Genomic DNA, 14,603 nt, shown 5'->3' with positions numbered 1-14,603 from the left:
TCACCTTCATTGTAATGAAATTAAGTCAAGGGCTAGTGTTGCCCAGTGGATGGAGGATTTCCGCCTTCAGATAGCAAGCGCTCTAATGACCTCTGTTTCACTGATCAGTGCCCATCGAGGTTGCCTCTTTAAAAATTATTTACAGGGGCCGGGCGTGGTGGCTCATGCCTGTAATCCCAGCACTTTGGGAGGCCGAGGCAGGTGGATCATGGGGTCAGGTGATTGATACCATCCTGGCTAACATGGTGAAACCATGTCTCTACTAAAAATACAAAAAAAATTAGCTGGGCATGGTGGCCGGCACCTGTAGTCCCAGCTACTCGGGAGGCTGAGGCAGGAGAATGGCATGAACCCGGGAGGCGGAGCTGGCAGTGAGCTGAGACTGCGCCACTGCACTCTAGCCTGGGTGACAGAGCGAGACTCCATCTCAAAAAAAAAAAAAAAATTATTTACAGGGGCCAGGTGCGGTGGCTCATGCCTGTAATCCTAGCACTTTGGGAGGCCGAGGCAGGCAGATCACCTGAGGTCAGGAGTTCGAGATCAGCCTGGCCAATGTAGTGAAACCCCCTTTCTACTAAAAATACGAAAAAAAATTAGCCAGTCATGGTGACTGGTGCCTGTAATCCCAGCGACTCTGGAGGCTGAGGCAGGAGAATTGCTTGAACCCAGAAGGGGGAGGTTGCAGTGAGCCGAGATCTCGCCACTGCACTCCCACCTTGGTGACAGAGTGAAACTCCATCTCAAGAAGAAAAAAAAAAATTATTTACAGGGAGGTCCAAGAGATATCCAGCATCATGGAAAGAATTTATTGCTCTGCATTAGATAGTCTCAGATGACTAATGCCAGTGAAATGGATGCATCTCATGATGATGAATTTTTTTTTTTTTTTTTTTTGAGATGGAGTCTCGCTCTGTCGCCCAGGCTGGGGTGCAGTGGCGCAAGCTCTGCTCACTGTAAGCTCTGCCTCCCAGGTTCACACCATTCTCCTGCCTCAGCCTCCCGAGTAGCTGAGTAGCTGGGACTACAGGCGTCCGCCACCATGCCCGGCTAATTTTTTGTATTTTTTAATAGAGACGGGGTTTCACAGTGTTAGCCAGGATGGTCTCAATCTCATGACCTCGTGATCCACCCACCTCAGCCTTCCAAAGTGCTGGGACTACAGGCGTGAGCCACTGCGCCCGGCCAATGATGATGATTTTTTTTAGGTGGAGCTTATTTCTTGACTTTGTAACCAAAATGTCAGAATCTTAGACTTTTCTTAAAAGATGTTTTTATTCCTCTGGTGGGTACAAGGAGCCATCTTTCCTGGTTACACTCTGCTTGTAATGAAAAGCCCTTTTCTCAAAACTTGACTAGACTCCAGATGTACCTTCTTCTTTGGGAACTTGAAAGAAATGCAAATTCTTTGGCCTCGAACCAGATGTACTGAATCTGAGACTTAGGGGGCGGGGCCCCACAATCTGTGTTTTGAGAAGCCCTCCAGGTGAGTGAGCTGTGCGCTCAAGTTTGAGAAGCACAGGGTGTAGTCACTCACACAGCTCCTCTTGCCCACTCACCCTCCCAGGCAACGTCAGCCACCCCCGAGGCTTCAGTGGCTTCCAGATCTGATCTGCAGCCCAGGCTGCCTTTCTTTTTTTTTTTTTTTTTTTGAGACGGAGTCTCACTCTGTCGCCCAGGCTGGAGTGCAATGGCACGATCTCGGCTCACTGCAACCTCCGCCTCCTGGGTTCAAGCAATTCTCCTGCCTCAGCCTCCAGAGTCGCTGGGATTACAGGCCTGTGCCACCACACCCGGCTAATTTTGTATTTTTAATAGAAACTGGGTTTCTTCATGTTGGTCAGGCTGGTCTCAAACTCCTGACCTCAGGTGATCTGCCCGCCTCGTCCTCCCAAAGTGCTGGGATTACAGGCGTGAGCCACCGCGCCCGACCCGGGCTGGCTTTCTGAGCTGTAGACTTATTATAAACACCTGTCCAATGACACTGCTACTTGGATATGTCACAAGGACCTCAAATTCAGCATCTTAGTAAGTATTTATGTTTCAACTTAAGTGGTGTTTTCTCATTGGACTAGGTTTGTCTGACTTGCCATCTCTGCTATTACCCTGTATTAAAATTCCTTATGTAAACTATGCGTTCCACCACACCAGGAGCTCCGTGAAGGCAGGGATGGGATCGGTTTAGGTATGGCTCACTTAGGATCACAGCTAATATTAACTGTGTGAATGAATGAAAGCTCCTGTATTCTCTCTACCAGAGGTAGACAAATTGTGGTCCATATGCCAAATCCAGCCCATGGCCTGTTTTGTAAATAAAGTTTTATTGGAACACGGCCGTGCCCATTTATTCATATGTGGTCTAAGGCTGCTTTTGCGCTACAGTGGCAGAGTTGAGTAGTTGCTACAGAAACTTTACGACCTGCAAAGTCTAAAATATTTACTATCTGGTCCTGTATAGAAAAAGTTTGCTCCAAGGGCCTCCCTGATATGTCTCCAGGAAGGCCAGGCCCAGGTACTCTTCTGTGTTGTGATTACACTGAACTCTCTAGAATGCCAGCCTGGCTTGCCAGGACTTCAAGCTGCCTCCTAGCTAGCAGAAATGCACCTGAGCAAAACCCAGTTTTATAGGGGAAAAACTACTGAGGGGCTCAGAACTTATAAAGGAGCTTTGGCATTTACATAAACCCCATTTCCAGAGAGGAGAAGGCTGGAGACTAATGGCCCAGTTCCTTAACACATCAAGTCCACACACTTTAATGTATACATTTTCAAGAAGAATTAACAGATTACTGAGATTACCAGATGCGGTGGTGCATGCCTGTAATCCCAGCACTTTGGGAGGCCTAGGCGGGTGGATCACCTGAGGTTAGGAGTTTGAGACCAGCCTGGCCAACATGGTGAAACCCCGTCTCTACTAAAAATACAAAAATTAGCCGGGTGTGGTGGTGGGCACCTGTAATCCCAGCTACTCGAGAGGCTGAGGCAGGAGAATTGCTTGAACCCCGGAGACGGAGGTTGCAGTGAGCCGAGATTGCGCCACTGCACTCCAGCCTGGGTGACAAAGTGAGACTCCATCTCAAAATAAAATAAAATAAAATAAAATAAAATAAAATAAAATAAAATAAAATAAAATAAAATAAAATAATATCAAATAAAATAAAAGAGATGACTGAGTATTCCTTCAATGCAGTGGTTGCTATGTAATTTTGATTAACTTTATTAGCCAGGGTATTTTACAACTCTAAGAGGTAGAGGTTAACTTGCAGAAAAGGAATAATAATATGAAGATTCTTATTTGAAGGTTTTGTAAATGATTCTAGCCCATAACAATGAAAATGCATTTTGCATTGGAGAGATATAATTTTTTACTGTCTTGTAGAAAAGATGATTTATATAGTTTGTTGTGTAGTAGTATATTAACCAGCTTTGCATATATTAGCAAATTTGTTTCAGCATTCCTTTGACTGGACTGACAATGTAAATCTCAATTCTTCAAGTTCTCCTTTGAACCAGTTTTAACCTATTTCTGGTTCCCTTGTTTAATGAATGATTTGAATCAAACCATTGACATGTTCATTTTATATTTGTATGTTTCTAAAGTTTTTGAAAATTATAAATATAACCTAGTGATCCTTTCATGATTTGCTGTGGGCAGCTGAGCAGGAAGGGCCTCATGGCAGGCAGGGAGGGAAGATGACGCTGTGTGACACTCAGCAGCGGTGGGAAGGTGAAGCACTGCGGTCCGAAGTCAACATTCTTCAAAAAGGCCACGTGAAAAGAGTACTGATCATGAACATTTGAAAGCGGTCACAGTCTTCATCTAGTAAACATTTAGGATTTATGAACGATTCTGTGTTGGTGCTGGGAAGAAACGTTAAGATTTCTTTGTCGCTTGGGATTTTTAACTTTCAGGATTTGTGACATGAAGTTCTCTTGTTTATGGCGGCTGCTTCTTTTTCCACAAAACGGGGATACAGGGCAACTCCAGGTGCTGTTGTACTTGCTGCGAACGCTTAGTTGCCCCGGCAGACACTATGGCTAGATATTTCCTAGGGCTGGAGCTGTGAGGCCATCTTAGCCATGGCTATCAGTCTGAGAAGATACATCTTGTTCTGTATATGGGACCCCCACAAGTGTTTGAGGTGTTTGGTTCTATGTCTGCCAGAGAGAGCTCCCATTGGTGAGGGGGCCCTTTCAAAGCCATCTCTGCCTGGGATCCATTTCCACATCCATCACCTCCGGAGCAACGGTCAGATGGCAGGCATTAATCCACACTGTGGGGATGAATCACCTCCCCAAGACGGCATCCACTTACAACAACCCACTTCTCATCTCCCCTCATAAAGACAACTGTCTGCCGTGGTTAAACTCACTCCATAACCTAGTATTTTCTTCTCTGTTCAGGCCACCTCTGAGCCTGCACTGGAAGGATGCCCTCACAATGTGAGAATCTACAGGGCAGGCCAGGGAAGCTGACAGGCTCTGTGCTCCAGTGGAGGCCGTACAGTTGGGTATCTAGGTGCCACCTTACTTCTCTGCAACTTCAATGTCCCCTGCATCACTGCTGTGTGCCCTTAGAAGTCTGAGTTGCTCTGGAGGCTACACTTCAGAGCATTCTAGCCTAGAGGGAAATCCAGGGTGGGCAGAAATACATTGTTTGTGGAGACCCCTAGGTCCCCAGGGACCTAGGAGGATGGAAAGGTCATAAAGGGGATGGAAGAGCATCAAAGACACAGTATCCACCTAGCAATTTGAATTAAGGGTTCTCTGCGTAGGCCATAAACCCATTTGTGGGCACGTGAACTGCCACATATCAAAACCATCTCATGCACCTATTCTTTATGTTATTCCACCGTCATTTAGAAGTAAATAATGGCACTCTGACCTTGATTTTGTGATCTTCGTTTAGAAGGTTGAGAAGAATTCTATTTTTCCAGGATGGACAACAGGATGACTGACAAGAAGAAACGTTACAGGATGCTTTGAAAGGAGACTGTGCAATAGCAACATTATGCCACCAGAGGGCAGTGTAGACTTTCTGGAGAATCTGGAGAGGGGAATCAGGTTGGGGCGAGTATGGAAATTTTAGGGGAGAGAACCCGTGGTCAGACGCAAATTTCAAGTAGAGTTTTACTTGCTAAAATCAGAATAAAAAACCAACCTTCGCAGGAGAGCCCTGCCTTTCATTCTGTTCTGTGTGCTCCTACGGATCAGAACTGAGACCTGCGAAGTCAGGAGCAGGTTTCAGGAGGATTCCTGACATCAGGTTGCCGACTGGGAAGGTCTAGGGAGGGTGTCCAGGGCAGCAGAGGGTGGAGGGAGAACCTTGAAGGGTGTGTGTGGAGAAGAATTTCCCTCTACACTCTAAGGAGTTGGTAGCTGAGTCTATGAAATAAACTATCAGGCCCTGCACGGTGGCTCATGCCTGTAATCCCAGCACTTTGGGAGGCTGAGGTGGAAGGATGGCTTGAGCCTAGCTGTTTGAGACCGGCTTGGGTAACATCGTGAGACCCTGTCTCTACAAAAACCAAAAAAATTAGTGGGCTGGTGGTACATGCCTATAGTCCCAGCTACCTGGGAGGCTGAGGTGGGAGGATTACTTGAGCCCAGGATTTCCAGGCTGTCGTAAGCTATGATGGCACCACTGCACTCCAGCCTTGGCAACAAAGCAAGACCCTGTCTCTAAAAAAAATTTAAAAAATAGGTTGGAGGCAGTGACTCATACCTATAATCCCAGCACTTTGGGAGGCTGAGGTGGGAGGATCGCTTGAGTCCAGGAGTTTGAGACCAGCCTGGGCAACATAGTAAGATCACTTCTTTAACAAAAAAATAAATAGCCGGGCGGGGTGGTGGCGTGCTGTAGTCCCAGGTACTCAGGAACCTGAGGCGGGAGGATCATCTGATCCTGGGATGTTGAGGCTTCAGTGAGCTGCGATTGTGCCACTGCACTCCAGCCTGGGTAACAGAGCAAGACCTTGTCTCAAAAACAAAAACAAACAAACAAACAAACAAGCAAACACCTGCCAGGCTCATACCTGCAATCCTAACATCTAATACTTTTGGAAGGCTGAGGTTGGAAGATCACTTAAGGCTGGGAATTTGAGACCAGCCTGGGCAACAAAGTGAAACCCCATTTACACACACACACACACAGCAGGTGAATTACATGAGCAAAGGCACACAAATTTATTATGTGCACTGGGGCATCACAGGAAAGAAAAGGGAACACTTTCAAACCAGTGAGACTGAGGAGCTTGAATACCCTCCTCATGGTGGAGAGGGGTGGGGAGGTGCAGGCAACTTAGAGGAGAATTAATGGTTTTGGGGAGAGATGAATTGGACCTCAGAAGCAGAGATAATGGTTTGTGACAAAGTTTGTCCAGCTCTGGGGTATTCTTGTCTCCTCTCCTGGGATAGAAGTTAATCCTCCTTAGTCCCTATTTATTTATTTTTTATTCTTTAAGTTCTGGGATACATGTGCAGAACATGCAGGTTTGTTACATAGGTATACACGTGCCATGGTGGTTTGCTGCACCCATCAACCCGTCATCAACATTAGGTATTTCTCCTGATGCTCTCCCTCCCCCAGCCCCCACACCTCAACAGGCCCTGGTGTGTGATATTCCCCTCCCTGTGTCCATGTGCTCTCATTGTACATCTCCCACTTATGAGTGAGAACATGTGGTGTTTGGTTTTCTGTTCCTGAGTTAGTTTGTTGAGAATGATGGTTTCCAGCTTCATTCATGTCCCTGCAAAGAACATGAACTTATCCTTTTTTATGACTGCATGGTATTTCATGGTATATATGTGCCACACTTTCTTTATCTGGTCTATCGTTAATGGGCGTTTGGATTGGTTCCAAGTCTTTGCTATTGTGAACAGTGTTGCAATAAACATACATGTGCATGTGTCTTTATAGTAGAATGATTTATAATTCTTTGGGTATGTACCCAGTAATGGTATGACCCAGTAATGGCTGAGTCAAATGGTATTTCTGGTTCTGGATCCTTGAGGAATTGCCACACTGTCTTCCACAATGGTTAAACTAATTTACAGTCCCACCAACAGTGTAAAAGTGTTCATATTTCTCCACATCCTCTCCAGCATCTGTTGTTTCCTGACTTTTTAATGATCGCCATTCTAACTGGCGTGAGATGGTATCTCATCGTGGTTTTCATTTGCATTTTTCTGATGACCAGTGGTGATGAGCATTTTTTCGTATGTTTGTTGGCTGCATAAATGTCTTCTTTTGAGAAGTGTCTGTTCATACTCTTTGCCCACTTTTTGATGGGGTTGTTTTTTTCTTGTTAATTTATGTTCTTTGTAGATTCTGGATATGAGCCCTTTGTCAGGTGGATAGATTGCAAAATTTTTCTCCCATTCTCTAGGTTGCCTGTACACTCTGATGATAGTTTCTTTTGCTGTGCAGAAGCTCTTTAGTTTAATTAGATCCCATTTGTCAAATCTGGTTTTTGTTTCCATTGCTTTCGGTGTTTTAGTCATGAAGTCTTTGCCCATGCCTATGTCCTGAATGGTATTGCTATGTTTTCTTCCAGGGTTTTTATGGTTTTAGGTCTTACATTTAAGTCTTTAATCCGTGTTGAGTTAATTTTTTTTAAGGTGTAAGGAATGGGTCCAGTTTCAGTTTTCTGCATATGGCTAGCTAGTTTTCCCAACACCATTTATTAAATAGAGAATCCTTTCCCCATTGCTTGCTTTTGTCAGGTTTTTCAAAGATCAGATGGTTGTAGATGTGTGGCGTTATTTCTGAGGCCTCTGTTCTGTTCCACTGATCTATATATCTGTTTTGGTACCAGTACCATGCTGTTTTGGTTACCATAGGCTTGTAGTATTGTTTAAAGTCAGGTAGTGTGATGCCTTCAGCTTTGTTCTTTTTGCTTAGGATTATCTTGGCTATACGGGCTCTTTTATGGTTCCACATGAGATTTAAAGTAGTTTTTTCTAATTCTGTGAAGAAAGTCAATGGTAGCTGGATGGGGATAGCATTGAATCTATAAATTACTTTGGGCAGTATGGCCATTTTCATGATATTGATTCTTCCTACCCATGAGCATGGAATGTTCTTCCATTTGTTTGTGTCTTCTTTTATTTCATTGAGAAGTGGTTTGTAATTCTCCTTGAAAAGGTCCTTCACATCCCTTGTAAGTTGGATTCCTAGGTATTTTATTCTTTTTGTAGCAATCGTGAATGGGAGTTCACTCATAATTTGGCTCTCTGTTTGTCTATTATTGGTGTGTAGGAATGCTTGTGATTTTTGCACATTGATTTTGTATCCTGAGACTTTGCTGAAGTTGCTTATCAGCTTAAGGAGATTTTGGGCTGAGATGATGGGGTTTTCTAAATATACAATCATGTCATTTGCAGAGACAATTTGACTTCCTCTCTTCTTATTTGAATACCCTTTCTTTCTTTCTTTTTTTTTTTGAGACGGAGTTTCACTCTTGTTCCCCAGGCTGGAGTGCAATGGCGCGATCTCGGCTCACTGCAACCTCTGCCTCCTGGGTTCAAGTGATTCCCCTGCCTCAGCCTCCCGAGTAGCTGGGATTCCAGGCATGCACCACCATGCCTGGCTAATTTTGTATTTTTTTTAGTACAGACAGGGTTTCTCCATGTTGGTCAGGCTGGTCTCAAACTCCCGACCTCAGGTGATCCGCCTGCCTCGGCCTCCCAAAGTGCTGGGATTACAGGCATGAGCCACCGCGCCTGGCTGAGTACCCTTCATTTCTTTCTCTTGTCTGATTTCCCTGGCCAGAACTTCCAATACTATGTTGAATAGGAGTGGTGAGAGAGGGCATGCTTGTCTTAGACTGGTTTTCAAAGGCAATGCTTCCAGCTTTTGCCCATTCAGTATGATATTGGCTGTGGGTTTGTCATAAATATTGTTTATGACACTCTTATTGTTTTGAGATACGTCCCATTGATATCTATTTTATTGAGAGTTTTTAGCATGAAGTGGTGTTAAATTTTATTGAAGGGCTTTTCTGCATCTATTGAGATAGTCATGTGGTTTTTGTCATTGGTTCTGTTTATGTGATGGATTACGTTTATTGATTTGTGTATATTGAACCAGACTTGCATCCCAGGGATGAAGCCAACTTGACTGTGGTGGATAAACTTTTTGATGTGCTGCTGGATTCGGTGTGCCAGTATTTTATTGAGGATTTTTGCATCGATGTTCACCAGGGATATTGGCCTGAAATTTCCTTTTTTGTTGTTGTTGTTGTTGTGTCGCTGCCAGGTTTTGGTATCAGGATGATGCTGCCCTCATAAAATGAGTTGGGGAGGAGTCCCTCTTTTTCTATTGTTTGGAATAGCTTCAGAAATAGTGGTACCAGCTCCTCTTTGTATCTCTGGTAGAATTTGACTGTGAATCCATCTGGTCCTGGGCTTTTTTTGGTTGGTAGCCTATTAATTACTGCCTCAATTTCAGAACCTGTTATTGGTCTATTCAGGGATTCGACTTCTTCCTGGTTTAGTCCTGGGAGAGTGTATGTGTCCAGGAATTTATCCATTTCTTCTCGATTTTCTATTATATTTGTGTAGAGATGTCTATAGTATTCTCTGATGGTAGTTTGTATTTCTGTGGGATCGGTGATGATATCCCGTTTATCGTTTTTTATTGTGTCTATTTGATTCTTCTCTGTTTTCTTCTTTATAAGTCTGGCTTGTGGTCTGTTTTGTTGATCTTTTCAAAAAACCAGCTCCTGGATTCACTGATTTTTTGAAGGATTTTTCGTGTCTGTATCTCCTTCAGTTCTGCTGTGATCTTAGTTATATCTTGTCTTCTGCTAGCTTTTGAATTTGTTTGCTCTTGCTTCTCTAGTTCTTTTAATTGTGATGTTAGGGTATCAGTTTTTGATCTTTCCTGCTTTCTCCTGTGGGCATTTAATGGTATACATTTCCCTCTAAATACTGCTTTAGCTGTGTCCCAGAGATTATGGTGCATTGTGTCTTTGTTCTCATTTATTTATTTATAAGTTCTCATTAAGAACTTATTTATTTCTGCTTTAATTTCGTTATTTACTGAGTAGTCATTCAGGAGCAGGTTGTCCAGTTTCCATGTAGTTGTGCAGTTTTCAGTGAGTTTCTTAATCCTGAGTTCTAATTTGATTCCACTGTGGTCTGAGAGACTGTTTGTTATGATTTCCGTTCTTTTGCAGTTGCTGAGGAGTGTTTTACTTCCAATTATGTGGTCAATTTTAGAATAAGTGTGATGTGGTGCTGAGAAGAATGTATATTCTGTTGATTTGGGGTGGAGAGTTCTGTAGATGTCTATTAGGTCCACTTGGTCCAGAGCTGTGTTCAAGTCCTGAATATCCTTGTTAATTTTCTGTCTTGTCAATCTGTCTAATATTGACAGTGGGGTGTTAAAATCTCCCACTGTCATTGTGTGGGAGTCTAAGTCTCTTTGTAGGTCTCTAAGAACTTGCTTTATGATTCTGGGTGCTCCTGTTTTGGGTGCATATATGTTTAGGATAGCTAGCTCTTCTTGTTGCATTGATCCCTTTACCATTATGTAGTGCCCTTCTTTGTCTTTTTTGATCTTTGTTGGTTTAAAGTTTGTTTTATCAGAGACTAGGATTGCAACCCCTGCTTTTTTTTTTGCTTTCCATTTGCTTGGTAGATATTCCTTCATCCCTTTATGTAGAGCCTATGTGTGTCTCTGCACATGAGATGGGTCTCCTGAATATAGCACACCAATGGGTCTTGACTCTCTATCCAATTTGCCAGTCTGTATCTTTTAATTGGGGCATTTAGCCCATTTACATTTAAGGTTAATATTGTTATGTGTGAATTTGATTCTTTCATTGTGATGCTAGCTGGTTATTTTGCCTGTTAGTTGATGCAGTTTCTTCATAGTGTCAATGGTCTTTACAATTTAGTATGTTTTTGCAGTAGCTGGTACCGGTTTTTTCTTTCCATATTTAGTGCTTCCTTCAGGAGCTCTTGTAAGGCTGGCCAGGTCGTGACAAAATATCTCAGCATTTGCTTGTCTGTAAAGGATTTTATTTCTCCTTCACTTATGAAGCTTAATTTGGCTGGATATGAGATTCTGGGTTGAAAATTATTTTCTTTAAGAATGTTGAATAATGCCCCCCACTCTATCCTGGCTTGTAGGGTTTCTGCAGAGAGATCCGTTGTTAGTCTGATGGGCTTCTCTTTGCGGGTAACCTGATCTTTCTCTCTGACTGCCCTTAACATTTTTTCCTTTATTTCAACGTTGGTGAATCTGACGATTATGGGTCTTGGGGTTGCTCTTCTCGAGGAGTATTTTTGTGGTATTCTCTGTATTTCCTGGATTTGAATGTTGGCCTGTCTTGCTAGGTTGGGGGAAGTTCTTCTGGATAATATCTTGAAGAGTGTTTTCCAACTTGGTTCCATTCTCCCTGTCACTTTCAGGTACACTAATCAAATGTAGATTTGGTCTTTTCACATAGTCCCATATTTCTTTTCATTCTTTTTTCTCTAATCTTGTCTTCACACTTTATTTCATTAAGTTGATCTTCAATCTCTGATATCCTCTCTTCCACTTCATCGATTTGGCTGTTGATACTTGTGTATGCTTCACAAAGTTCTCGTGCTGTGTTTTTCAGCTCCATCAGGCCATTTATGTTCTCTGGTTATTGTAGTTAGCAATTCCTCTAACCTTTTTTCAAGGTTCTTAGCTTCCTTGGATTGGGTTAGAACATGCTCCTATAGCTTGGAGGAGTTTGTTATCACTCACCTTCTGGAGCCTACTTCTGTCAATTTGTCATACTCCTTCTTTTTCCAGTTTTGTGCCCTGGCTGGTGAGGAGTTGTGATCCTTTGGAGGAGAAGAGGCATTCTGGTTTTTGGAATTTTCAGCCTTTTTGTGCTGGTTTTTCCTCATCTTTGTGGATTCATCTACCTTTTGTCTTTGATGTTGGTGACCTTCGCATGGGGTTTCTGTGTGGTTGTCCTTTGTGTTGATGTTGATGCTATTGCATTCTGTTTGTTAGTTTTCCTTCTAACAGTCAGGTCCCTCTTCTGCAGGTCTGCTGGAGTTTGCTGGAGGTCCACTCCAGACCCTGATTGTCTGGGTATCACCAGCAGAGGCTGCAGAACAGCAAAGATTGCTTCCTGTTCCTTCCTCTGGAAGCTTCATCCCAGAGAGGCACCTGCCAGATGCCAGCCAGAGCTCTCCTGTATGAAGTGTCTGTCGACCCCTGCTGGGGGGTATCTCCCAGTCAGGAGGCACAGGGGTCAGGGACTCACTTGAGGAGGCTGTCTGTCCCTTAGCAGAGCTTGAGTGCTGTTCTGGGAGATCTGCTGGTCTCTTCAGAGCCAGTAGGCAGGAATGTTTAAGTCTGCTGAAGCTGCGCCCACAGCCGTCCCTTCCCCCAGGTGCTCTATCCCAGGGAGGTCAGAGTTTTATCTATAAGCCTCTGACTGGGGCTGCTGCCTTTCTTTCAGAGATGCCCTGCCCAGAGAGGAGCAATCTAGAGAGGCAGTCTGGCTACAACAGCTTTGCTGAGCTGTGGTGGGCTCCACCTATTCCGAACTTCCCAGTGGCTTTGTTTACACTGTGAGGGAAAACCCACCTACTCAAGCCTTAGTAATGGTGGACGCCCCTCCTCCCACCAAGCTCAAGTGTCCCAGGTCAACTTCAGATGGCTGTGCTGCCAGCAAGAATTTCAAGCCAGTCAATCTTAGCTTGCTGGCCTCCATGGGGGTGGGATCTGCTGAGCTAGACCACTTGGCTCCCTGGCTTCAGCCCCCTTTCCAGAGGAGTGAATGGTTCTGTCTCACTGGCATTCCAGGCGCCACTGGGTTATGGAAAGACAAACTCCTGCAGCTAGCTCGGTGTCTGCCCAAATGGCTGCTCAGTTTTGTGCTTGAAACCCAGGGCCCTTGTGGTGTAGGCACCTGAGGGAATCTCCTGGTCTGCAGGTTGCAAAGACCATGGGAAAAGTGTAGTATCTGGGCTGGAGTGCACTGTTTCTCATGGCACAGTCCCTCATGTCTTCCCTTGGCTAGGGGAGGGAGTTTCCTGACCTCTTGGGTGTTGAAGTGACACCCCACCCTGCTTTGGCTCACCCTCTGTGGGCTGCACCCACTGTCTAACCAGTCCCAATGAGATGAGCCAGGTACCTCAGTTGGAAATGCAGAAATTACCTGCCTTCCATGTTGATCTTGCTGGGAGCTGCAGACTGGAACTGTTCCTATTTGGCCATTTTGCCAGCCACCCCCACCTAATCCCTATTTTTAATTTTTTGAGGAAACTTCACACTGTTTTACGGAATGGCAGCACCAATTTACATTCCTACCAACAACATATATGTGTTTTCTCTACATCCTTGCCAAGACCTGTTACCTTTTCACCTTTTGATGCTAGCCATCTAACAGGTGTGAGATGGTATCTCACTGTGGTTTTGATTTTCATTTCCCCGAAACTCCCTGGGAGGGGATTGGGGATCTGTCTTTAGGCAGACAGGGGGAGTTCAGGGAAAACGTCTCTCTGCCTTTGGTCTTTCTCAAGTGTCTTCAGCTCAAAGTGATCGGCACACCAAAGCAGCATATTTTGGGGTGGCATTTCCTGAGCTCTTTCAACGGGCTCAGGGCAGTGGCTTTTCCCTAACTGGGTTAAAAGCGTGTTAATGCTTCAGTACTGTGTAGGGCTTTAGTGTAGCACCCTAGCTGGACATCAGCCCCACCAGGTATGGGTGGGGTTCTGGGAAAGGGCCTGGGCTCTCAGGTGGCTGCACTTGTGATAGCAGCTGACTTCCTGTAAGTGCACTGGTGCAGGAAGTGAGCCCTGCTTCCTGTCTGTGTTGCTGGGGGTGGGTGGGGGTGTGGGGGCGGGGAACAGAGGGGAAGCCAGGCCCTTGAACTTGAACTTTTGTCATGCAGGCACTGCAGCTGGGGGTTGGTGGCCTCCTGGAGGGTGCCTGAAAGGGACTCTGGCAGTGCAGCTCCTTCCTCGGGGCAAGAACCCTGAGCTGGGGCAGTGATTTCCCTCCCCTTGATTTCCTCACTTTTGTTTTGTTTTCTCTTTTTTTTTTGAGACGGAGTTTTGCTCTTGTCACCCAGGCTGGAGTGCAGTGGCATGATCTTGGCTCACTGCAACCTCCGCCTCCCGGGTTCAAGTGATTTTCCTGCTTCAGTTGCCCAAGTAGCTGGGATAACAGGTGTGCACCACCACGCCTGGCTAGTTTTTGTATTTTTAGTAGAGATGGGGTTTCACCATGTTGGTCAGGCTGGTCTTGAACTCCTGACCTCAAGTGATCCACTAGCCTTGGCCTCCCAAAGTGCTGGGGTTACAGGTGTGAGCCACTGTGCCTGGCCTCATATTCTCTTAAACCATTAAATTGGACGGGTGCGGTGGCTCACGCCTGTAATCCCAGCACTTTGGGAGGCCGAGTCAGGTGGATCACTTGAGGTCAGGAGTTTGAGACCAGCCTGGCCAACATGGTGAAACCTCCATCTCTCCTAAAATACAAAAATTAGCCGGACATGGTGGCGGGGCCTGTAATCCCAGCTACTGGGAAGGCGGAGGCAGGAGAATCGCTTGAACCCGGGAGGTGGAGGTTGCAGTGAGCCAAGATCATGTCACTGCACTCCAGC

At 45.0% G+C, this 14,603-nt stretch overlaps 4 annotated features.

Annotated features, from left to right (window-relative positions):
- Window positions 1,265-1,384: an enhancer, noted in NCBI's record as "active region_17235". NCBI's record gives its function as "activates an Ori minimal core promoter by ATAC-STARR-seq in GM12878 lymphoblastoid cells {active_cell/tissue: GM12878}" and the evidence as "EXISTENCE:reporter gene assay evidence [ECO:0000049][PMID:35858748]".
- Window positions 5,202-5,261: an enhancer, noted in NCBI's record as "active region_17234". NCBI's record gives its function as "activates an Ori minimal core promoter by ATAC-STARR-seq in GM12878 lymphoblastoid cells {active_cell/tissue: GM12878}" and the evidence as "EXISTENCE:reporter gene assay evidence [ECO:0000049][PMID:35858748]".
- Window positions 13,781-13,860: a silencer, noted in NCBI's record as "silent region_12411". NCBI's record gives its function as "represses an Ori minimal core promoter by ATAC-STARR-seq in GM12878 lymphoblastoid cells {active_cell/tissue: GM12878}" and the evidence as "EXISTENCE:reporter gene assay evidence [ECO:0000049][PMID:35858748]".
- Window positions 14,001-14,130: an enhancer, noted in NCBI's record as "active region_17233". NCBI's record gives its function as "activates an Ori minimal core promoter by ATAC-STARR-seq in GM12878 lymphoblastoid cells {active_cell/tissue: GM12878}" and the evidence as "EXISTENCE:reporter gene assay evidence [ECO:0000049][PMID:35858748]".

The sequence above is a fragment of the Homo sapiens genome, chromosome 2 (genome assembly GCF_000001405.40).
Source record: "Homo sapiens chromosome 2, GRCh38.p14 Primary Assembly".
Taxonomy (NCBI): domain Eukaryota; kingdom Metazoa; phylum Chordata; class Mammalia; order Primates; family Hominidae; genus Homo; species Homo sapiens.
This window is presented reverse-complemented; position numbering and strand designations above follow the sequence as displayed.